This window comes from Homo sapiens, chromosome 8, assembly GCF_000001405.40.
Source record: "Homo sapiens chromosome 8, GRCh38.p14 Primary Assembly".
Lineage (NCBI taxonomy): Eukaryota > Metazoa > Chordata > Mammalia > Primates > Hominidae > Homo > Homo sapiens.
Genome location: NC_000008.11, coordinates 61,617,802 through 61,642,886, shown reverse-complemented (window position 1 = coordinate 61,642,886; position 25,085 = coordinate 61,617,802). Strand labels below are relative to the sequence as shown.

The following is a 25,085-nucleotide window of genomic DNA, read 5'->3' as shown; positions in this document are numbered from 1 at the left end:
TTTGCAAATGCTTTCTTTTTTTTTTTTTTCTTTTTTTTTTTGAGATGGAGTTTCGCTCTTGTTGCCCAGGCTGCAGTGCAGTGGCACAATCTTGGCCCACTACAACCTCCGCCTCCTGGGTACAAGCGATTCTCTTGCCTCAGCCTCCTGAGTAGCTGGGATTACAGGCATGTGCCACCACGCTTAGCTAATTTTGTATTTTTAGTATTTTAGGGTTTATCTCAAACTCCCGATCTCAGGTGATCCTCCCGCCTTGGCCTCCCAAAGTGCTAGGACTACAGGCATGAGCCACTGCGCCCGGCCTGCAAATGCTTTCTAACCTTAAGCCACCTTCTTGTTTTAAAATATACCTATAGTTTGACTACAAGATGTGGAACATTATGCTTTAAACTATAAACTTTGCAACTTAAAACATCCAGATGAACGGTAGCGTTCAAAGAATTCACTTGGGGAGACTGTTTACCCATTCCACGGCTTCTGCCATTGCCTAAATAATTTCTTAAACTCTTTACAAGTTGCCTTAGGAGGCAGTTACAGTCATTCAAGAAAACCAATCTCAGTACTTTATAGTTGTGTCTCTTTTGACTAAAATATGCATGAACAACTACTTTAGCCGGAGTTAAATTGCTCTAGCTGCTTCTACAGGTTAATCCCACTCTCAAAGATGACTGATTTGTCACCTTGGGGAAGGTTAAGAAGCACTGTGTTCCAGGCTTAAAGGCAGTATGGAGAAAACAGTTCTGGCAAATTTGTGGCATCAGCAGCATCTGATTCAGTTTAGGCCTGTACCTCCCTCCTCTTGTGTCCAAGCATTGCATAGACTATTGTGTTGAACTCCATGAAGTAGATTTTATTTTCCCTGCTTCCCAGAGGACAGAAATAAGGTTCTGACATTATAAATAAGCTGCCCAAGAATGTATGGCTAAGAAGTAATAGAACCAATAATATATCCTTTTTATTCCATTATCCTCAAAGATGATTATGTAGAAAGAGAGAAGTCAGTTGGGTATAACTTTATGTGTAAAGCAAGAACGATGAAGAAATACATCGTAATTGAGTTGGTGGATATGGAGGACTTTCTATGTTCTAGATGGTTTTAGGGCCTGGAATTCAATTATGAGTAACATAGGGTCCCTCCTTTCAAGGAGTTTACAGTGTCATGATAGATAGTGAATCACAATTGAAGAAAATTAGGAGTGTTTATAAATATGAATCATATTTATATGATGATTTAAGATTTGAGACCCTACCAAGTTCATCATCTATAGTGGCTATTTCTAATGGGATATGAATGACACCATGGGAAAAATCCTAGGTTGTGTCTTTAAGGTACTGATAATTTTTATGAAAAGTTAAAGAATTTGGACCTGATGTGTTCACAGGAAGATTTGGGGCCGAGGGAAGGTTGGGGAATAATTTGGTCTTGAGATTGCACTTAGATTTTCTTTCCAATCTTGAATTTGAAGGAGAAAATAGGAATTTATAAATACAAGTTGCATGTAATGATGGGATTTGAGATATTTTCCTCATTTCTACTGATCATTATAATGTTTTTAAAAATATAAAGAACATGTTTGGAATGCAATTTGAAGACTAAATCTAGAGGAATTTAAATTCAAACTCATAAGAAGTATAAAATTAGATACCATGCGAAAAGAATGTTATATGTTTTCATAGGGCAGAGTATCATAATAAATGTAATTTAAAATGTTAGCAAAAGGCAGTAAATATAACCTAAGAGATTGACATGATTTGGTAAGCTACTTTGGATTTCTTTGTTATATAGAACATAAACTGTTTCAAACAAATAGATCTAATTGAACAGTGTATTATTCACTATATGCTAAAACAATACCTTTGTGAAAATTCAGGAATCAGAGCAGAGAAACCAAGTAACTGACATGTAAGTGAAGCTGTAAGTAGGGTGAAAACAAAACCACATTTCAATGGGAGAATAGAATATATTCTGTATGAAACTTGCAAACCCCAGAACATACACTTCGATAGAACTATAGTAGGAACCAGCTTCTACATCAAAGATAACCTAGAAATCATCATGCCTACATTGGACAAACCTGGGAAGTGACAGTATGGCCTTACCATGTAATTGACTTATTTATTCATACACTGTTTAGTGTCTTCGGTCTGAAACACAGGACACTGGAGCAGTTCTAGTGAAGAACACCCATGGTTCCTGTTCTCATGGATCTTATATTTTAGTAGGGTAGTAGAAATTAAACAAGCAATTTCACTGTAGTTTTCATTTCCAGTTGTGATAAGTGCTAGGAAGAACAAGTACAGTGGTAACAAGAATATGTAATCAAGAGACCTTACCTAGTTTGTGGATGAGGCAGGGCCTTCCTGAAGTTTGAGCTGAAGGTGAGAACAATTGACAAGGCAAGGAGAAAGGTGACTGGAGAGTCGTATGAGGTCTCTGACGTGAACTTGCAAGAGTAAGGCTGAGGTGGTGAAATGGGCTGGGTTCAGAGGATGCCTGTGAGCAAGATCAAGGACGTTCATCTTCACCTTTGAGCACTGCCAAGTCAGATCTGCATTTTGAAAAGATTGATCGGTCTGGCATGCAACAAACAGACTGGAGAGACAAGAGTCAATACAGGGAGAACAGTTAAGTTAGCTGTAATCATCCAAATTGGGTCTTTCCGTGCATCACATCTCTCTCTGTCTGAAGGAACCAAAGGAGATGAGTTTCAAGAAAGGGATGTTCAGTGGTGCCCTGCGCTACTGAGAACCATGTGAGATGAGTGCTGAAAACCTGCCCTGATCTGGCGCTGCAGTGGCCTCAACGGGTGACTTTAGCTGGAACTGTTTCAGTGGACGGATAGGACAGATATGATAGTTTAAACCAAGGGTGGTGGCAATGATGGAGGAGGGAAGTGGGCAAAGTTGAGAAATGCTTAGAAGGTAAAATTGGCAGGTCTTCATGCATGGGTGTAGCTGGGGGGAGACAACAAGGTGCCAAGAGCCACATACACTCTTCTGCTTCTGCAGCCTGGTGACAGGGGGTGCTCTTTTCCTAACGTGGGAGAGACTGGAGTCAAGCACGGGGCAGGGGCTCATGAGTCCAGTTCTTTACATGATGATAGTGAGATTTCTTTGAGGCATCTGAGAGGAGAGATCAAATGAGCCATTTGGTGGTGTTTGACTCTCAGAAGAGAAGTCTACTTCGTGATTGTGAGTGTGGGAACCATCAGAGTAGTTACGTGGTCATCAGGACCAAGCTCTGAGATCCCTTAAGGAGAGCAGATTGAGGGAGACATGAGGTGGTTCTATGGCTGGACTTTGAAGAAAGCCAGCATTTAAGGACGGCTAAGAAAAAGATGAAGTGAAAAAGAAGATTGAGTGGGAGAAACGAAAAACCAAAGGGGAGAGTATGGTCACCCTGAAGTCCAGGGGCAACAGTGTTTGGAGAAGAATGGTGTTGCTAAAAATATAGCGAGGGCTGGCGAGTGTCCATCATATCAAATGAGGCACTGGAGGGGGTCTCAGCAGGAGCCTTTTCAGGGATGGGGTCAGGGTCTGAAGACAGGCGGGAGTGAGTTGAGGGGAGAGGAAGAGATGAGCCATGAGATGTAAATGACTGAAGAAATTAGATTGTTCAATGGAAGAAAGAGAGGGTGACGAGAAGCAAGCTTAAGAAAGAGTGGTATTGCATTTTTAAGTTCTTAGAAGCTTGAGCATGTTTAAATGCTGACACTGCTCAGGGCAACAGAGTGAGCACACATTCACTGCTCCTTCATCTTTCAAATGCCCCAAAAGGACAAAACGACCTATTAAACATTGTTCCCTGCTGTACCCCAATACTGAGAGTGTCTGAAAGATAGTAGGTGCTCAATAATTTTTCTTTATTAAATGAATAAGAAAGAATAAACTTACAACCATGCTGGGAAAAAGAAGGATGTTTTCTTGTAGTGTGCCAGAAAATTGGAGGTATTTTGGAAGATCAGGTTGACTGAGGAAGCTTTGAGCCACTGGGCCCTGGAGAGGCCTGTGTGGAGATGAGACTTCCTTGCAGCAGAGCAGAGAAGAAGCACTGAGCCTCATGCCAGCAAATGAGGGAGGCAAGGGCAGCACGCCCTAATTAGGGTGGGGAACGCTTCATTCTCAGGGGCTGGCGGCAGAGGTGTTTGGCCCCAGGTTAGAGGTCTGAGAATTGTTTCCTAAACAAAGCAGGGAATCTGCCCATGAACACCAGGATCCAGTTGATTCCCAGGGTACAGCTTCGGCTAATTCAAAACCTCCACCACAGACATGAAGAAAATTTTAAAAAGGTAGTAAAATTTTAAAAAGGTAGTAAAAAGTGGCTGCCCTGGAATTAGAATCCAGGCCTGTTTTACCCTAGACCAAACTCTTCTCCACCCTACTCTCTAGTCGGCTGTTTCCCAGTGACTGAACCTTGCAGGTTCAAAGATGCATAAGGCATTGTCTCTGCCCTTAAAGCATGTTGTCAGTTTTTGTGTTACAATGAAAGTTACGGGATTTTGTTTCTGTTTTTTTTTTTTTAGCAGTATATGAACCTCTAGAAAATGAAGGGATAGAAATCACAGGTAAGTTTTTTCTGTAAGCACATATTTTCTGCAAGTCAGCTTTCCCTGTATTTTGTTAAAACTCCTACCTGTGGAACAAAGAGTCAGTGTAGAAAAAATGCAAGACATTTTCAAGTCAGTAAGAAAATAATTGAGTATCAAAATTAAAGTTAATATTCTAATATAAATACTCTGCAGAAGACCCAGTTTAAAAAGAGTCAAATTTAGCAATCTGAGTGGACACGAGTTAATTTAGGAATCTGAATGAAGGCGAGTGAATGTAAGATGTGTCACTGGTCAGCAACATGTAATGGATTCTGATTTTATTCTTTATTTTAGAAGTAACTGCTCCCCCTGAGGATAATCCTGTAGAAGATTCACAGGTAATTGTAGAAGGTAAGATAAATTTATGGAAGTGGTTTTACCTTCCATATGAGAATTGTGTTTGTTTATTCAGTTATTTATCGAACATTTCCTACTTGCTGTCTATACAGTGCATAGGAGCTAGGAGTACAAGAGGGAAGAAAACACAGAGTCCTCTTTTCATTGGGGCTGGCATTCCAGTGGCCAAACAGATAATAAATAACGGAATTAAGGATTATGAGAAGTACAATGATAGTGATAAAAACAGGCTACTGTAACAGCAAACAATTGATGAGGGTGTGGAGGGCTACCCTGAGTAGCAGCAGGTTACCACCCCTGAGGGGTGATCTGGTGAGAAGGGCATAGCTATGGGCAGAGACGGGTTGAAAGATGGGTCTTTATGTCATGACTCACCTGGGAAAACAAAACAAATTTTTTTTTTTTTGGTGGTGGAGAACTGAAGGGATGGTTTCTGAAAAACAAAAATAATTGCATGTATTAAACAGTGGCGCTTCAATAGAACTTAGATTTAAATACAGTTCTTAGTTAGCATTTTACAGTTATTTCACATATATTATTTCAGTTGCTCCTCGTAGTAGGCACTGAGAAACAGGGAGCGTGGAGATCTTTGTACTTATTTTGCAAATGAAGACCTGAAGCTGGAGTGAGGTCAGGTGACTGGCTAGCCCTAGGTTTCATAGCTGTAAGTGACCAAGGGGATATTCGACCCAAGACTGGGACCTGTGGGTGACTCTGCGTGGGGGTGTGAAGGTGTGAGGGAATGGGGTCTCTGCTTTAACAACCATAAGTTGCCAGGGGGAGCATGTAAGAGGGAGAATTTTGCTCTTACAATTACTCTTAAAATTTAGGAGCAGCTAATTGTCACCTTTCAGATTAAATGTTACTGCTTTTGAGCTTGGTTAGGCAGAAAGGAAAATGGAATGGTGCAGTTGACTGAAATGGGGGGAGATAGGTATAAGGGAATCGGGGAGGCTAAAATTGCTGTCTGTGTCCGCTTAGCTGCTGCGAGAGACCCCTGTACAGGCACTCTGGGCCCTTGTGTAAAGGCAGGATCCATCTCTGTGTGGCAAGGCTGAATTGAGTTGAGATTTTTTCCCACCTTGTGTTACTCAGTTCTCTATGAGGGATATTAATGTTCTGAAGAATATTACTGAGTCTATATGTTTATTTGGTGAGAATCAGAAGATGGAAACCCATAATCTCTGGGCAGAACTTTCTCCAACCTACCCTACATACGGTTTATAGAAAAGAACTATGCAATTTGACCCTACCTTTCTTGGTTTAGAAATAGTTTTTTCCTAAGACTTTTCAGTATTTTGATATGTTGACAGAGGACATAGCAGAGGCTGCTAAGGGAGTTTCCTGTCCTGGGCAGTGAGGCACCTGGCTATGCACCTGCCACCCATCCTGCAGCTTCTGTGCTGGGCTCCTGTAGTGCCTGAGTGGACAGTGAGGGGAGCTTATCTCTCACAGCAACCAACCTTGTTTTCCCTGTCTCCTCTTCTCTTGGCCGGTTGTATCAATATATACTTGGATTCCCAGACCAGAAACATGGAACTCGTTTTTGAGTCCTCTCTCCCTCTGTCTCTATAGCTAATCCCAAGACCTGTTAATAGACTCCCTAAACATTTCTTAAATCCATTTTTTTCTCCATAGCTCTTGTATAGCCCCTTGTCTGGCTCAGCCCTTTCTCATCTTCCTAGATAATAGCAGTAGTCTGCTAGCTAGACATCTTGATTCTGTTCTTGTCCCCTCCAAACCCATCTTTCACATACTGTTAGGATGATCTGTCCAAAAGTATAGCTCTCATTGTATCAGCCCTGTGTTTAAACCCTTCTGTTATTCTCCATCTGTGTCAGTAAAGTTACTTTCAGTTGCAGATAATAGAAAACGAAACTCAAACTGGCTTAAGCAATAAAGAGATAGGTACAGATCAGTCAGGGCCTTGCAAGGCCTACTAAGGCTTTTTGGATTATATTCTAGGCACAGTGTGAATTATGAAAATTCTTAAGATATAGCATAATCTGATTTTTGTTTTAGATGTGAAAGTGAATTACTTTCACTAGATTGAATGGAGCAAGAACGGAAGCAGAGCGAAACACCCTGTTAGGAAAATATTGTGTACTAATCCAAGGAAGTGATTGTGGTAGCCTGAAATAAGATCATGGCAGTGGGAATGGAGGGGAAAGTGTTGAACTCGAGATATATTTTAGAATTAAAATTAATTGACCTTCCTGATGGTTGTGAAGCAAAGATGAGGAATAAAGGGGGTCTTTTATTTGGTTTCAGTAACTATTAGATGATGGGGCCATTTATAGAGAAGAAAACTATTATTAGAATGTATTAGGTTGGTGCAAAAGTAATAGCAAAACCCACAATTACTTTTGCACCAACCTTATAGAAGAAACTGGTTTAGGAGAGAAAATAAAACGCCCCAGATCAGACATTTTAACTCTGGGAGTTATGTGATATATCCAAGTGAAAGTATCAAGTGGGGGGTTGAATATGCCAACCTGAGCTAGTTGGGTGAGTTTTAAGATGAATATAAACATTTGGGAGCCATTGTCGTAGAGATGGTATTAAATCCATGGAAACTGATGTGATCATTTTGGAAGCAAGTGGAGAGACGATAAAGAGGCATGCCCAGGACTGAGCTCTAAGAATCTAATATTGTGAGGTTGGGTGGAAGGTGAACAGCCATTGTGTGAGGAGGAAAGCCAGTGGAGAAGTAGAGAAGGGAAAATGTGAATATGTTTCATGTTGTTGTTGAGTGGCCCAGGAATTTCAGGACTGAGAAGTTATCAGTTGCATTTGGCCACGTAGAGATTGTGAGTGATCTTACCAAAAGCCATTTGAGTAAATTAGGGGAAGAGAAAGCCATACAGAATGAAGTGGGTTCAAAAAGACCTGGAGTAAGGAAAAGTAGGCTATAAAATAGGTAACCCAGATTGTGCTGATAGAATTAATTCACGGTTTACTTTTTAGAAATCATGTTATTACATCATATACCAGAAGAAATTTCATATGAGTTTGTTGAATGTATATTTTTTGTAATAAATTTAGATGAAAATTTAACTTGCAATAATAATAAGGCTTTCTTAGTATAACATCAGTGTTGGAAATAACAAAAGCAGCAACTAATACTTTATGATGTACAATATTTTGAGCGTAGAATAACAAAAGTAAAAGAAATTCTGAGAAAAATATTGGCAAAGTTGATAAAGTGTTAATATGTCTCCAAATAATTAAGAACAAAATAAACAGGCAAACCTATTAAAAGCCAGTCACAACATAGCTATTCAATAGTCACTGTACTGCTGTTATAAGAAGAAAATATTGCCAGATACTAACAGTGGTTAGTGGGAATGGGTGTGATTTTTGTTGCTGTTTTCAATTACTTTTATGTGAAATATTTCCAAATATTCTGTTTTGAGCATGTGTCATTTTTTATAATTAGAAGCAAATTAATGCAAGAAGAAAAATTATTAAAATAGCTCCATAAGTGTTTTCTGTTTTAGAAAATACTGTTAAAAAAATCTTTCTTTTGGCCAAAGATTGTTAACAATTCTTAAGGACCAAAAGGAATGTTGATATAATCTTATCTCTAGGTTAAGGTAATGTTAAATGGGTTGCTAGGTTTGAAGATATTAATATGTGATGTAATTTCATGGAGCAAATCAGATCACTATGTCTTTAAATCACTGGGTGGGGACATCTACCATCTCTTTAATTGTAACTGGGTTGAAGCAACCAAGGAAAAAGACAGGATATTAAACATTCACATCCATATCTTTGACTAGTCTCAGAATATATTATCTGGAATATTAGTTTTCTAAAACAACTTCATGAAGGATAGTGTTTGATGTTAAAGAAGAAATAAGATACTTTAAGTGTCTTTCCACAGCTCTCTTATCAAATCTGATGCAAAATTGTGGTGAAAGCATAAGTTTTAGTCCATAGCTCCTTTGCTGGGCAGTGGAGTTTGAGGTTAGTCGGGCAGGTACTATAAAACCTGCTGTGCTGAACCGTTGAGAAATACACAACATTTTGCTAAGTTGTAGCTGATCATTCTTTGTTGTGAGGGTATAGAAGCCTAATGTTTTTATTAAAATTTCAATTGAATTGTTTAAAAAATCTATGAAAAGTATCATCATTACTTAAATCTGGCAACGCATATTTTAAACACTGATCAGCAATATGTAACAGATTATAACTTTATTATTTATTTTAGAAGTAAGCATTTTTCCTGTGGAAGAACAGCAGGAAGTACCACCAGGTATGACATTTTGTATGTTGTATTTTCCTCTTTTGTTATCCTTAAAAATCCTGTTAATATTACCAATAGCTTTATAATGAATCTACGAAGGATAAAAATTTTGAGAGAGATTAACTGTACCTTAATTTAGAATTTTTCTGTTTTGATCAGTTCAACCAAAGTAATGGAAAATGCACATCAGATTCAGTGCAGTACATATCTGCTGAGCTAGAATTTGAGGAGCATTAATGATCATATGATTTTGCCATTATAGATGGTGGTAGTAGTGGAAGTTAGAGTTTTTTTGTTTTCCTCTTTGATTGACAGGCTATTTGATGGAGAATATGGAATCAGAATTGCCTTGGGATGAAAGTTGAATAGTGTATAAATTGTGACATTACTCCTCTTCCTCTCCATTCCCCATCTCTCCTGAGAGCATCTTTAGTGCTTTGTGACAGTCCAGGCTGCCCAGTGCTTGTCAGTGTCCCAGGGTGTTTCCTTTTAGTTCACTGCATTACATACTTTTCCCTGTTTTTTCCTACTTTCCTCTACCTGAGCCCTCTTGTCACCAGTTAATATAAAGAATGGTAACAGCATTTCCACCAAAGCCTATGCTTTCAAATGCATTTTAGAGATGGCATAAACTATACCTGCAACCAGAAGTGAGTTTATAAACCTCGTACTCTCATAGTGGGAAAGAATGTTCTATCAAACAGGATTTGGAAAATCCTACCTCTTTCCCAAGTGTATTTCTTCTCATTTCTGCATTTTATTTTTGTGTCATATTTATTTGTTCAACCTTTACTTATATTTTCTACATTTTAACATGAATTTTGTAGCAGTGATGTGCATTCCTATTACTGATTTTGGTAGAACTAATTGTGCCTGCCAAAATTTATTAAATACTAAATTTCAATTTTCTTTCTTTAATGATAAAAAAGGATAAAATAATCAAAGAATATATTTAGTTATATGTGGGATGCCTTAGGTTTTGATAGTTGTCCTGCCATGTACATTAATAATAATTATCTGCAGAAACAAATATTTGATTAAGAGAATGGAATTGTTGGTATTATAATATGAATGAGAAAAGCAGTCCATGGAGAAATTGACCTTTTACATGATGACTACTAGGCAGTGTGTATTTGTGTTTAAAATACTTGGACAGGGCAAGGGCAGCTGATATTTATGTCCTTCTGCTGGTTTCCTTTTCATTTTTGAATACTGCTTCACAGAGTACCCTGTTTGTATCAAAGAGGCAGGACCAGTTACAGAATTAGCATTTTGATGACTATTCCATGACTTAACAGAAAATTATTTTATATTCCTAAAAATAATGTTTGTACAAATTAATATATTTCTAGTTATAGTTCATATTTTAAAATACTGATCTAATTTTTGTGAAGATATGAAAGATAATATTTTTCAGACCAAAAATTTCTATACTTTTAACATTTTATAACTGAACCCAATAGTTTATTTGGAATGTAAATATGAAACACCAAGTTTCTGAGGTGATGGAATAAGGTGCTTTTTTAGATTTTTAAGAACCAAAGCACATACAAATGAAGATCTGATTAATATGCATAGTTCCCGACCTATAATAAGCTCCCAGTAAGTTTTGGCTATGACTATTGTTTAGTAATTAATTAGCCTGATCTTAGAGGTAGATCAAGATCTACCTCTGTGATGGATGTGAGGGCCATCTGGCTGTGACATCTGTCACCCCATTGATCATCAGGGTTGATTCAACTGATCTGGCTGGCCAGGCAGGTGTCCCCTTCATCCCTCTCCACTCCATGTGCATCCCTCCCAAAGCTGCATGCTCAGTTGACGAGCATGACCGTCCCCGATACAGGAGGACCAGTCTTCAGTCAAGGGTATATGAGTAGCACCCCTGCTGGAACCTCCAAACAAGATCAAGAGAAGCTACATTCTGAAAGACCTCATGGAGAAGTTGTAACCTGTAACTTGGTACCATAAAAATTTGAATGATCCACTGCATTGTTGTAGTTTGACCCTGCCAGAAGAGGATGTAAGGCTGAGAGTCAGCAATACAGTCATGTGTCACTTAATGACAAGGCTACAGACTGAGAGTGTGTCGTTAGGTGACTTTGTCCACGTATGAACATCATAGAGTAGCCTACTACACATCTAGGCTATATGGTACAGCATATTGCTTATAGACTACAAACCTGTACAGCATGTTACTGTACTGAATACCATAGGCAGTTATAATGCAATGGTATATATTTGTGTATGAAAACATACCTAAACGTAGACAAAGTATGGTAAAAATATGGTATAGAAAATTAAATAAAAAGATATACCTGTATAGGGCACTTCATGAGTAGAGCTTACAGCACTGGAATTTGCTCTGAGTGAATCAGCAAGTGAGTGGTGAGTGAATGTGAAAGCCTAGGACATTACTGTACCCTACTGTAGATTTTATAAACACTGTACACTTGGGCTACAGTAAATTTATTAAAATTTTTCTTTAATAATTAACCTTGGTTTACTGTAATTTTTTTAAATTTGTAAACCTAATTTTTAAAAACTTTTTGATGATTTTGTAATAAAAATTAGTTTAAAACACAAACATATCATATAGCCATACAAAAATGTTCTTATATCCTTATTTTATAAGCATTTTTATTTTCAATTTTTTTAACTTTTTAAACTTTTTTGTAAAAAACTAAGACACAGACAGACATATTAGCTTAGGCCTGCAGGATCATCAATATCACTGTCTTCCACCGCCACATCTTGTCCCATTGAAAGGTCTTCATGTGTAATAACAGGCATAGAGTTGTCATCTCCTATGATAACAATGACTTCTGGATACCTCCTGAAGGACCTGCCTGAGGCTGTTTTACAGTAAACTTTTTTTTAACAAGTAAGAATATAGTCTAAAAGAACCGTAAAAGTATAGGAGAGTAAAACCATTAACAGTCCTTTATTATCATTGTCATATATTATGTATTGTGCATAATTGTATGTGGTTTGCTTTAATACAGCTGGCAGTGCAGTAGATTTGTTTACACCAGCATCACCACACACATGAGTAATGTGTTGTGCTGGGACGTTATGAAAGCTAAGATGCATCTAGACAATAGGAATTTTCATTATCAAATGGGACCACCATCATATATTTGATCTATCCAAAACATTGCTACATGACACATGGCCGTATTTTTAACCATTGCACTTGGTTTTCTTATTTTCTATAAGTCTTAAGTCTTACTCTTAGTCCTACCACATGTTACAATTTTTTTATTATTCACTTGTGCAATCTTCATAAATCTGTATTTGTGGTATTTTTGCACAGTCTAATTTTGCATCTGATTGTAGGAACACTAATTATAGGGCCTACCTCCTTGCCATTTTTCAATCTTTAAAATTCTTTTATTCAGTGGAAGACTCAAATTGAGGACTTCTGCAAAGTGCTGAATATTAGTTCACTTTTTCTTTTCCCTTGGAACCTAATTGACGATTGATTTGCCTTCTCTGATTATCCTAATACTAAGTTATACAGTCTTAATATAGCTTATTAAAGTTCATAATAATGTAACTATCAATGTGCTAATCCCAAGTGGCATTATCACCATTGCCTCCATCTAAAGTAGGGAACAGTGAATTTCATGTTTATTAAGCATTATGTAGGCGCTCTGCTAAGCACGTTCTGTGGATTGACCTTTAATAGTTCTAAGACCCCAAGAGGTAGATATGCCATTACCTCCATTTTACAGATGAGAACACTGAGGCACAGCAAGGCCAAGTAACCTTCCCCAGGTCACAGAGCTGACAAGTGGTAGAAATCGGATTGATCCTTGCATTCTGGCTCCAGAGTCCACACTGTCAGCTGCCGTTTTTCAAAGGATTTTAAATAAATGAAGACGTGACAGCTGAGAGATTTGAGAGCAGTTTTGGTGTGGTAAAATCAGATGTGTTATATATTCTTCAGCATCTTTCTCTTAATCTGCATTAGTTCATCACATAGGCCTCAGGAATGTCAAAGGTTGAGTTATGATGTATAGTAGAAAAGTAAGTTGTCCAGTAGTTTGCATTCTGCCTTCTTTCTTGCATATTTATAAATTTGTAAGTGCTGTGCACGTGGATTCTTGGCAAGCATGTGGAAGCTTAAGCTTAAGATTTGATTTTTCTGATATTATAGGCCAATCACTTTGGATATTAGATTTTTAAGATTGATTTTGGAATTTCTCATCCATTAGCAGGTTTTCACCTTTCTCCTTAAACTCATAGTTTTCCTTGAAATCATACAGCATATTTGTAGCAATCTGACAGCATAAATATACACAACACAAATGGAACGACTTATGAAGGAATTACTTGTGAAAGCTCATTGGAGTAAAATTTCCTCTCAAACAATACTTTAGGTCATATGACTGAGTCTATTAACTATTTTTCTGTTATACCCTGCCAGAAAAGAATTTTAAAAGTTAGTTTATGTTTTGTGTAACCATGTTCTTCAGAATGCAGGTATGTGAGCATCATGGTTTCTGGGTAATTCTGCTGCTCCTGTCTTTGAAAATGGAGATACCACTTGCAGCTTATCCCACTGCTGAGTATTCCAGCATTGGTAGTGGTTTCACTCCATTGCATCCATCCAGAACTTTCACACAGGCCTCCCCATTACCCAGCATTTTTTAACATTGATCAATAAGGCCTATAACCAGATTTAGGCTAGCAACACCAGAGGTCTGGGGGCAAGGGTGGAAATTGACTTTACATTCTTAGTAGCTAATATTCCATAAGTGCTTTATATATATATTGTTGTTATTGATCATCTATTCAAAAAATATATATTGAGCAGCTGCTGTGGTATAGGCTCTGTGCTGGCCAGTGAAGATACATGATTGACAATGTTGTGCTTGCTTGGTTCACAGTCCTGTGGGTACATGGTGGAGTAAAATAAGTACAATTAATTTCTCAGAGCTGTGCACAGCAACACACAGAAGGAGAGATAACTCACCCAGCTTCAGAGGGGTGGGACAGAGAATGAGGTTAGCCTCCCAGATGTCCTTGTGCTAGTTTTAGCTGTTTTCAGGTGTTGATAAAAGCTCCAGGAGCTGGCAGGAGGAGAGCAGAGGAAGCTAGAGCTTACAAAGCACAAAGGCCATGACAGCATGCCAGACGGGTGAAAGAGGACAGGGGAAATGTAGGCAAGTGTCTCTTCTCAGAGGATGTTATATACTATGTTTAAAAGTGTTGATCTGCTGGGCACAGTGGTTCACGCATGTAGTGTCAGCACTTTGGGGTGCCAAGGTGGGAGGATTGCTTGAGCTCAGGAGTTTGAGACCAGCCTGGGCAACATAGTGAGACCCCATCTCTTAAAAAAAAAAAAAAAAAAAAAAAAAAAGCCGGGCTTGGTGTCACGTGCCTGTAGTCCTAGCTACTCAGAAGGCTGAGGTGGAAGAATTCCTTGAGTCCAGGAGGTCAAAGCTGCAGTAGGCTATGATCGCACCACTGCACTCTAGCCTGTGTGACAGATTGAGACCCTGTCTCAAAAAATAAAAGTTTGGATCTTTGCCTAAAAATGACAAGAAGTCACTGAAAAAATCCAAGCAGAGGAGTCATATGATCTAATCTCAATTTGAGAAGTTAGTCCAGCAAGGAGGTAGAGACTAGTAAGAAGCAGCTACCGTAGGCTAAGCCAAAAATGGTGGGAGCTTGGCTGCAGTAGAATGAATGGAAAGGTGCCTGATTTCATGGAAACTGGAGCTGGAAATAATTTGATGGGGGAGGGAGAGGAGTCCACGTTCCTACATTTCTGGCTTGAGTCCTTGTGAATGAATGGCAGAATGTTAATGGAGATAGAGAAGGCAGGAAGAAATGGAGAGTAGCAGAAGAGATGACGGTCCTGGTTTTGGAGATGTGGGATTTGCACCATAACCACTTCTGAATGGGGTCTTCAGACATTTATTGGAATTGTTCAAAATTGTAGTAGAACTTTTAGTTTATTTGCCTTTTTATAAATACTCATTGTTATACTTTGAACAACTTTCCATTTTCCCAGGGTACTTCTGAAATGTATCTTCCTCTCAAATCAAAGTCCAGAAAATTGTTGAATGCCAAGAGAATCTAAAACTCATTTAAATAAACTTTTTCTATTGGGGTATAATTTATACATGTGGAAATGCTCAAATGTTGAATTTTTCCATGCATATATACTCGTACCCGTTACTCAGATCAAGATAAAACGACGTAAAGCTTTTAACACCCCAGAAATGTCTCCCTCTTCCTACCTCTGAGTCATACCCCAACCAGAGGTAACCACTCTTGTGAACTGGATCATCGTAGATTAGTTTTGTCTGCTCTTGAATTTAAGATCCATAAACACACACATTTGTTTTTGCAACTTGTTTCTGTTCTACATCTTGTCTGTGGTTTCATCCACCTTGTTAAGTGTAGTCATTTGCTCTTATTCATAACTATTTCCTACAGTTTTTAATCACTGTTAATGGACACAATGAGTTTTTTTCCCTCAATTGTTGACTATGAAGAAAGCTGCTATGAATATTTTTGTAATGTCTTTTTGGGGAAATAGAAGCATTCATTTATGTTGGGTATGTAAAGGTATATATAGAATGTCTAGTTGTTCCCAAACAATTCCACTTACATAAAAAGTTTTGGTTGCACATGTGTAGATAGATAGATAGAAATTCTTAGGAAAGTAGGAAGGAAGAAAGGAAATATTGGGATCCAGCTTTAAAAATTATATCAAGATTTTGCAGGGCCTTTCTGTGCACCACCTCCTTTTCTAGTTTAATTGTAACACAAATCCAATTCTGTGATAGTAAAACAAATCAGATACTAAAGTTAAGAATGAAAAAAAAAATTGTAAAAAGTTGGATAGGAATGAATTTTACTTCTTTTAAAATACTTATATACTTTTATTGTCAACCATTTATGTTATTTTAATTTTCAAAGCAATATATTTTAATTTTTAATTTTTTAAAATTTATTTTAATTTAAAATTTATTTTAATTTTTAAAGCAATATATTTTAAATGCAGCTTATAGTGTCCAGTTGATCCTTGAAACTGCTTCTTGTATTTATTTTTCAAATACCATACTAGATTTCTGTTTCTTTTTAATAGAGTGAAAATATTGAAGAAAGAAATTTAATGCTGTGTTTCTTAAAAGATTGAGATTATTCAGTTCAGTTTTAATTCTCAAGTGCTCGAAAGAACCTGAGATTTTCATCAGCAGCTTTGCAAGCCATCCCCAGGGGCTTCTTTCGGTAGTTGATTATTCTGTTACCAAGTTGTCCTTAAAAACAAACACCAAAAAAAAAAAATTACTTTGTTGGTGGGTTTTTTAAAAAGTAGAATGAAAATGAAGCAGTTTCACAGTCTGTGTCTGGTTGGTCCTTTAATTTAGATTTCCCCTTATTTTTGCAGATACTTAAAGCTTCAAAAAGACTGCCCCTACCACCACAGGAGGACCAGCCTAACCATACGCTCCAAAAGATGGCTGTGATAGATCTTGTGAAGCAATTACTGAGCAGATCAAGATCTTTGGGAAGGAACACTAAAGATGTTTTGAATGAATTATAGTCCACTGGCATTTTAGTGTATTTTTTTTTCTTTTTAGAAACACACATTTCTAAAAATGTCATGTTACATTCCTGCATGTCCCTTTTGATAGCATTAGTGGATCCATTGGATTTCTTTTTTCTTTTTGTGAGACAGCTTTTAGTCTTACCTGAATTTATGTGTGTTTTTCCGACAGTGGTTAATAATTATATTGGTGATGTAGCAGCAATTGTGTTGGCAGGGTTTTCATATATTATTAGTAATTAACACTAACTGTTGGACTGACTTGTGTACACTGTGTTAAACATGATTTAAAAGCTATTAAGAGTACTTTGTGTTAGCACTCTTAAAAACGCTAACAGAGATCATCATTAGCTGTGAAGATTTGAGTTGTATATACCTGCACTGATATTCTTATCAAAAATTTCTACATTAGCTTTAAGTGTTCAGATTAACACTTTTGAAATTTTTGTAGCTTTTAGCTGATTAATTAGAAAAATTTAATATTTCAGTGAAAGTTTTAAATTATCATTTATTTATTTTTTTAAATGAGAGGGGAAAGCTGAAATTCCTTGTTAAGACACAAGGAAAAAGAATGGCCCTACTATTATCATGCAAAAATGCTTTGTTGGCACCTCAGATTAATCATATAATAGCTATAGTCTCTTCAGCATTTGTTTAAATTTTAGAAAACCTGTATAAATTACTGGTGCATAACTTAAAGATTATTCTGCCTTTGGCTAATTGAGTAATTCCCCTCCAGCACTAGAGACCGCTCAGTGCTCTTACTAGATGAACTCAGTAACGCCTTGAGCTGGGTTGATTGAGGATGTGTGAAAAGCTCACAGAGCCCGATGCCTGCTGCTATTTCACGGCAATGAGCCTTTTTCTTTCTACACTGAAGATTTTCTTCTTATTTAATGTGGTTTATTTTGGGCTCAGAAATAATTGCTCTGTTGAAAATAATCCTTTGTCAGAAAAGAAGGTAGCTACCACATCATTTTGAAAGGACCATGAGCAACTATAAGCAAAGCCATAAGAAGTGGTTTGATCGATATATTAGGGGTAGCTCTTGATTTTGTTAACATTAAGATAAGGTGACTTTTTCCCCCTGCTTTTAGGATTAAAATCAAAGATACTTCTATATTTTTATCACTATAGATCATAGTTATTATACAATGTAGTGAGTCCTGCATGGGTACTCGATGTGTAATGAAACCTGAAATAATAAGATAATAAGAAAAGCAATAATTTTCTAAAGCTGTGCTGTCGGTGATACAGAGATGATACTCAAATTATAATAAAACTCTTCATTTTGTGAATTATAGAAGCTACTTTTTATAAAGCCATATTTTTTTAGGGAAACTAAGGAGTGACATAGAACTGATGAATGAGTAAAAGTAAGTTTTGCTGGATTTTTGTAGAACTCTGGACGTTGAGGATTCATTATGCTGTGGTTAACTTTAAATATTTTTGAATTCCAAATATCTGAATTAATGAGCCTTGTCTTTACAAATATGTGCCATTGTGCAACATCGGTGGATTTTCTAAAAATAATGTAAATGTCTTCTATTAAATGTTGAGTGCAATAAAATACAGAAGAATTCTCTATATTGTCATTATTTTTGAAGTATAAGGTATTTTTAATTTGTTACATAATAAAATCAGTTCATTTTATCCTTACTAGTATTTTAGAAGATTATAGCATTTTTGATAACTAAAATCACAAAGGAATACCTTCAGCCAGTTAACGTATTTCTAACAGATAATGCTTATTTTGCATTTACTATCATGCTACATTGCCAGGAAGCAAGATTAAAATTAAATAGCCCCTGCAGCCATCCTTTGTAGATTTTGTCCTGCACCTAGAAGTTTTGATTATTCCCTGGACAGCCTGCTCCACCTTTTTTCCCCAAATTTTTAATTTTTGTGAGTATATAATAGATGTATAAATTTGACTATATGAGATATTTCGATACAGATATAGAAAATGTACAATAAATTATTGTTGGCTATAGTAACTCTGTTTTGCTATCAAATACTAGATCTTATTCATTGTATATAACTATATTTTTGTACCCATTAACCATCTTCACCTCCTGCTCCCCTCTCCCCTCACTACCCTTCCCAACCTCTGGTAACCATCCTTCTACCCTCTACCTCTGTGAGTTCAATTGTTTTAATTTTTAGCACCCACAAATTAGTGAGAACATGTGATGTTTATCTTTCTGTGCCTGGCTTATTTCACCTAACATAATGACCTCCAGTTCCATCCATGTTGTTTCAAATGGCAGGATCTTATTCTTTTTTATGGCTGAGTAGTACTCCATTATATATGTACCACATTTTCTTCATTCGTCTGTTGACAGACCCTTAAGTTGATTCCAAAGCTTAGCTATTGTAAATAGTGCAATAAACATGAGAGTGCGTAAATTTCTTCAATATACTAATTTCTTTTCTTTTGGATATATACCTAGCAGTGGGATTGCTAAGAGAAAACAATGGGGAAATTGTCCAGGACTTTGGTCTAGGCAATGATTTCTTGAGTAATACCCCAAAAGCACAGGCAACCAAAGCAAAAATGGAAAAATGGGATCACATTAAGTTACAAAGCTTCTGTACAGCAAAGGAAACAACAAAGTAAAGTGATAACCCACAGAATACATCAAAATATTTGCAAACTACCCATCTGTCAAGGGATTAATAATGAGAATATATAAGGAGCTCAGACAACTTCATAGGGAAAAATCTAATAACCTGATTTTTAAAATGGGCAAGAGATCTGAATTCTCAAAAGAAGACATAAAAATGGCAAAACAGGTATACGAAAAGGTGCTCAACATCCTTGATCATCAGAAATGCAAATCAAAACTACCTTGAGATATCTCACCTGAGTTAAAATGACTTTTATCAAAAGACAGCAGTAATGAATGCTGGTGAGCATGTGGAGAAAGAGGAACCCTCATGCACTGTTAGTGGGAGTGTAAATTAGTACAACCACTAGGAGGTTCCTCAAAAGACTGAAAATAGAACTACTGCCCCACCTTATATATCACTTTTTAATGGGAGGATATTAATTTCATCGTGAGTGGATGGAAGGGCAGAAATGGATATGGAAAGTTCTCTTTTCCATTTCCAGTCTTCATTCTCTGGACAGAAAAGGAGAACTAAATAAGGAAGAAGCCCCTGGGGTTCTAGAACAGGTTGTTTTTAGCCCCAGCATGTCCAGAAGAAACAAAAATAAACACTAATGGTAAGCAGACCCACTTTTATTGAATGCACCCACTCTGCGGAGTACTGTGTGCACATGTCAGGGAGCTGAGTTTTCTCAGCAGATAAGTATTACTTCTGCCTGCAAGTGAGCAAAGCCAAGGTCAGAGAGGTGGGGTGCCTGCTGGCCCGAGGTGACACACCAGTATCCAGAGCAACTCTCCGGCAGCTGGTGCAAGGTGGAAGCCATTGGAGGGAGGCCAAAGAGCAGGCAGGAAGATGGTTAGGCAACTAACTAGTAATAGGTGATGGTGATACAGCATGAGCTAAGGAAGTGCTAGTAGAGAAGGAGACTGGAAAGCTGTGACGTGAGGACTGGTCAGTCTGGGTGCTTAGGGAGAGAGCAGTCTCATGTCCTGGTGCAGGGAAAGAACAGATGCCAGTGTGGTAATGCACTCAGAGGGATGAACAGGCCTGGGTGGAAATTCACTTTGAATGTACCTTGAGTCCAGCAAGAACTGCTCAGCTGGCAGATTAGCGCAGTGGCTGGAACACGAGTACAGTATATCTGTTTTTTGTTTGTTTATTTTTGAGACGGAGTCTCAGAGTCTCGCCCTGTCACCAGACTGGAGTGCAGTGGTGCAATCTCGGCTCACTATAAGCTCTGCCTCCCGGATTCAAGCGATTCTCCTGCCTCAGCCTACCGAGTAGCTGGGACTACAGGCACGTGCCACCACGCCCAGCTAATTTTTGTATTTTTAGTAGAGACAGGGTTTCACCATGTTGGCCAGGATGGTCTCGATCTCTTGACCTTGTGATCTGCCCGCCTCGGCCTCCCAAACTGCTGGGATTACAGGCATGAGCCACTGTGCCTGGCTGAGTACAGTATATCTGAATCCACCAAAGCGATTTGCTTTAGTGGTTGCATGACAATATTTAAAGATCAATATCCCATTCTTTTTAGTAAGGTGTTTATTGTTCTGACAAAATATTTAAAGGAGAAAAAACGTTAAGACAGGTAAAGAGTAGTGTAACATCTTTTTTTTCTGAATACGAATATTTAAAGACTAAATATGAGTTACATGTGAGCTTGTACTTTTGTAATTTTCAGGGATGGGCTGAGCATATAGCTCCCTTTAGTTAATGAATTCCCCATTACTGGGATATAGAGTGTGATTAAAGTAGTATTTTATGGAATATAGTCTCTGAAATTGGTTTTGTTTGTTTTGTAATCCTACACAAGATTCTTTAGCCTCTCTATGCCTCAGTTGCCTTATTTGTAAAATTATAACTACCTCCTATGAATGATGAGAAGTTTAAATGGGATAGTCTGTGTTAAGTGCTTAGAACAATGCCTGTATATAATACGTGCTCAAGTCATTTTCCTCTTTGGCACAGTGAGGTTCATATGAGGTCTCCCAGAGAAGCATAGGTACAGAGAATAAAGCAAAGTATCACTTCATTATTATCTTTGCAGAGTGCTAGTGGGGTAAGCTGAATCTCACAGAAAGCTCCTTTACCTAAGCTAAATTTAAGCAATAAAACTTGTAGAGCCTAAAACGTATTCTCTGTGTATTTTCTTTTCTTTTCTTTTCTTTTCTTTTTTTTTTTTTGCTCAAGTTGCAGTAATTTATGTATAACAATATAAAACTAATGCAAAGTATTACTATTATCTCTGTGTATTTTCTCCATATCCGAAATGAGTCTCAGAACTCAGCTTCTTGATGTGAGGTGAAGGACAGAAGAGGACAAGAATGAGAATAAGAGAGCTTTTGGCCTGGGGCCTGGAATGATCTGGTCCAGGCTTTAGGTCAGACTGCCAACCCCCTTTTAGATACAGCATGGGAAGTTGAAGAAAGATGGTGGCCCTTGTTTCTGGGCATATGTCCAACCACACTCACCCTCCACGTTCCTGGGAGGACGTGAGTCTAAAGGACATGAGGAGACCCGGCCAGGGCCCTCCCACATCGGGATCAGCACCTTCCACTTCTATATGGAATGTGACCAGTTCAAACCACTCCTCCTTCCTTATTTCCCTCCCAAGAGTGGGAAGATCTGTGGAGAGCCCTAAACTCCCCTTCATGACCAGCACCCACCTGTTCTATCTAGTCCAGTTAGAAACTTGCATTTTACGCTTGATTTTTCTAATCACATTAGCCTTATGCAATGACTGGGGGATGTGGAGGGTTGCAGTGTTCCTGCAGGTACTGCTGATCCCACTAGGAAGAGCTCCTTCAGGACTGGAATTTTTTATGCTTTTCTTCATTGCTGTATCTCCGATGACTACAAATGTGCCAGACATTAGTAGGTGCTCAGTTAATATTTGCTGAATGAATGGTATTGAATAGTCTAGTTCAGCTACCTAACTTTATAATAAGGAGGCTATAGTTAAAGAGATCGGAAATTCTAGAACATTCTACCAAGACCTACATGTCCTTAAAAAAAAAAAAAAGTCCTGCATTATTCTTGCAGCACTGCGCAGGAGGTATGTGCTGTAAACCCTATAAAATCAATCAACTCTTTGCAAAAGTCAAGACTGGCACTTCTCTTTGAAGAAAGGTACACAGTGGTTCAGTGGAAAAAAAGTATGCTTTGGAATTATGTAAACTGCTGGCCTTGATAGCTTTGGGGACTCTAATTTCTCAGCCATCTATTTTCTCCTATGCACAAAGAGGGAGGTAAGACCTTCTCCACAGGGTGTGAGAAGACAAGAGAATTCATAAATGATGTGCTTAGCACTTAGCCTGGCACGCTAGATTTCAAAGTTAGTTTTCCTTTCTTCCTCTTATGTAGAGTCTCAAAGGAGCAAGAACACTTGACTTATAAAAATCCCTTCCCTGCATTAAAACCAGCCTCAGATTTACTTTTCATCTCCCCAAATTGAAATGTTTTATATGAATGAATGTGGGAAACTCCAGACCAACAAATTGAGTGATCTGTGTCAATGTTCACTTGACCGCATCCCTGATCTCACCGACATCCTCTTGCAGCTTCTGTGGGAGAGGACAGAGTCTGGTTTTTTATCAATCTCCCAGACTCTGCCTTGTTCCCTCTCCAACCTATGTGCATACGACCGTATTCCTAGAAATACACAAAGAACAGATAAGTTCCTACTAGGGCTGTAATCAAGTGATTGCCGTGAAAATTAACTAGATCCTAATTTACCTTACACAGTAGTCCTGATGTGGAGTTACAGGTGCAGAAATGAGGTTAAAAACACATGGTCAGCTCATATGCTGTTGTTTTCCATGTGAGGGGTGGATGTTCTCTGGCTAGTCTAGGCTGTTGGTGGGTGTCACTGTCCTAGGTAATTCTATTTGTGGGAGAGACACTGACTGTGATTTACTTAGTGCATCTGACACAGGTGGGGTCTTGGGTTCATCTCTGGCTTCTCATCTGGGCTTCAGCACAAGCTCCCCCAATGGATCATCTGTGTATATGTGAAGTCCTTAGAGTAGCAGACTAATATTCCAAGCAGTGTGACATGCTGCATTCCTTTAAAGCACATGATGTCAATTGTTCAAGTAGTTTTCTGGTTTTAAGAGACAATAACAATATTGAACAAGCTTTAATGATGGCTTCTCCCCATCCACATGTCTTTGTACCTTAGAGACACTTGGAGTTGATGTACATCACCCACTCCAACTCTCTTATCTTATAGACAAGGAGTACTTAGCCTGGTGCCTAGTCAGTGCTTGGTGACTTTTAGTATAAGTAATTGAAATATGCCCAAATCTTGATCTTTTCTAATGAACTTCATGTGTAATGAATTCAGGATTTAGGAAAATTGAATTGTATGCTCAGATATATTTTTCTTTGATTATACTTATTGAATTCATTTAAATATTGTCCTATATTTTGAGATACTGAATGGTGACTTGCATAGTACTTACTATGTTTTGTCTTTAATTTTCAGAAACAAATAGAAAAACAGATGATCCAGAACAAAAAGCAAAAGGTGAGATTGTCAAATAAACAGCCTTTAAAATATACATGGGGAAAAGAATAACATGATTTTATGTTCCATCCAAGAATAACATGATTTTATGTCACTAATTAAAAGAATTTGCTCCTGGGTTTGTTATTTCAATGATTTATCAAAGAACACTTATTAATATTTTACATAAACATTAAGAGCCAAAGCACAGAAAGAGGTTGCCCAGCTTCTAATTCTAGTTTTGACATTTGCACTCTTGCGTCCTTGGGAAAAATACTTAACTTTTGTGCCTCAGTTTTCTCTTCTGTAACGTAGGAATAATAAGAGTACCAACTTCTGAAGGCTGTGTTTCCATGATAGTAATAAAATGAAAATATACGTAAAGTGCTTAAAGCAATAGCTAACATAGAAAGCACTTAGGATATATTAAATATCATTTATTGTTGATATGTCAACAACTGTACTAGGTATAGGAATCCAAAGATTCCTAGAACATGATATCTTTTTCAAGGAACTCTGAATTGTTGGAAAGATATACAAACAAAGTTACAGCTATGCAGAAAGAATTATTTCTGCCTGCCAAAAGTTTATTACAAAGTTTATTACAAAGAGTTAAAAAATTATATGGATGATCATAGAATAGTGGCTATTTTTAGTATCAGTTGAATGATATGATCTTTAATAATTGAATATTATTACAATTTCAGGAATGCTTTTAATTTAATTTGTAGTGATGAAAGCAGTATCTACATATGTATCTTGTACATAACGTGCATAAGATCTTACTTAGTGTGCAAATGATACTTGGTGAGCATGTGGAATTGCTGGCCTCTGGCTGTAATTTCACAGCCCACAAGTTGAGAAGTAGGCCTTTAATTCATGAAAACTTTTCTAACTAGTTGTTTTTAATTTTTGTCAAAGTAGTACAAGGATATAGTTTAAAAAGTTGAGGTTTATAATGAATAGCAGCAGTCCTCTTCCCTACTACTTCATATCCCCAAGTCTCACTCCTAACTTTCTTTTAGCTGTTTCTTTCTTTCTTTCTTTCTTTTTTTTTTTTTTTTTTGAGATGGCGTCTCACTATGTCACCCAGGCTGGAGTGCAGTGGCATGATCTCGGCTCACTGCAACCTCCTCCTCCCTGGTTCAAGCAATTCTCCTGCCTCAGCCTCCCGAGTAGCTGGGATTACAGACACAT

The 25,085-nt window shown here is 37.7% G+C and overlaps 1 protein-coding gene and 1 pseudogene across 90 annotated transcripts in view, besides 3 other annotated features; both read left to right on the top strand.

The window, feature by feature from the left end:
- The window catches only part of ASPH (aspartate beta-hydroxylase), a 214,037-nt gene that overhangs the window by 71,706 nt on the left and 117,246 nt on the right, over positions 1–25,085 (top strand). For 31 of the 90 annotated variants that reach the window (NM_001413894.1, NM_001413883.1, NM_001413862.1 and 28 more), the window contains 4 exons: positions 4,524–4,565; positions 4,884–4,940; positions 9,160–9,204; positions 23,868–23,909. The exons of 4 other annotated variants lie outside the window; for them this stretch is intronic. In NM_001413894.1, the coding sequence (NP_001400823.1) occupies positions 4,524–4,565; positions 4,884–4,940; positions 9,160–9,204; positions 23,868–23,909 (186 nt within the window). Of the gene's footprint in view, positions 1–4,523; positions 4,566–4,883; positions 4,941–9,159; positions 9,205–16,606; positions 19,175–23,867; positions 23,910–25,085 lie in introns of those variants that run through there. 55 more of the 90 variants (NM_001413884.1, NM_001413882.1, NM_001413873.1 and 52 more) reach the window with 14 other exon arrangements.
- Positions 6,226–6,325: an enhancer, noted in NCBI's record as "active region_27447". NCBI's record gives its function as "activates an Ori minimal core promoter by ATAC-STARR-seq in GM12878 lymphoblastoid cells {active_cell/tissue: GM12878}" and the evidence as "EXISTENCE:reporter gene assay evidence [ECO:0000049][PMID:35858748]".
- Positions 6,406–6,575: an enhancer, noted in NCBI's record as "active region_27446". NCBI's record gives its function as "activates an Ori minimal core promoter by ATAC-STARR-seq in GM12878 lymphoblastoid cells {active_cell/tissue: GM12878}" and the evidence as "EXISTENCE:reporter gene assay evidence [ECO:0000049][PMID:35858748]".
- Positions 6,656–6,905: an enhancer, noted in NCBI's record as "active region_27445". NCBI's record gives its function as "activates an Ori minimal core promoter by ATAC-STARR-seq in GM12878 lymphoblastoid cells {active_cell/tissue: GM12878}" and the evidence as "EXISTENCE:reporter gene assay evidence [ECO:0000049][PMID:35858748]".
- On the top strand, positions 10,875–11,207 carry RN7SKP97 (RN7SK pseudogene 97; annotated as a pseudogene).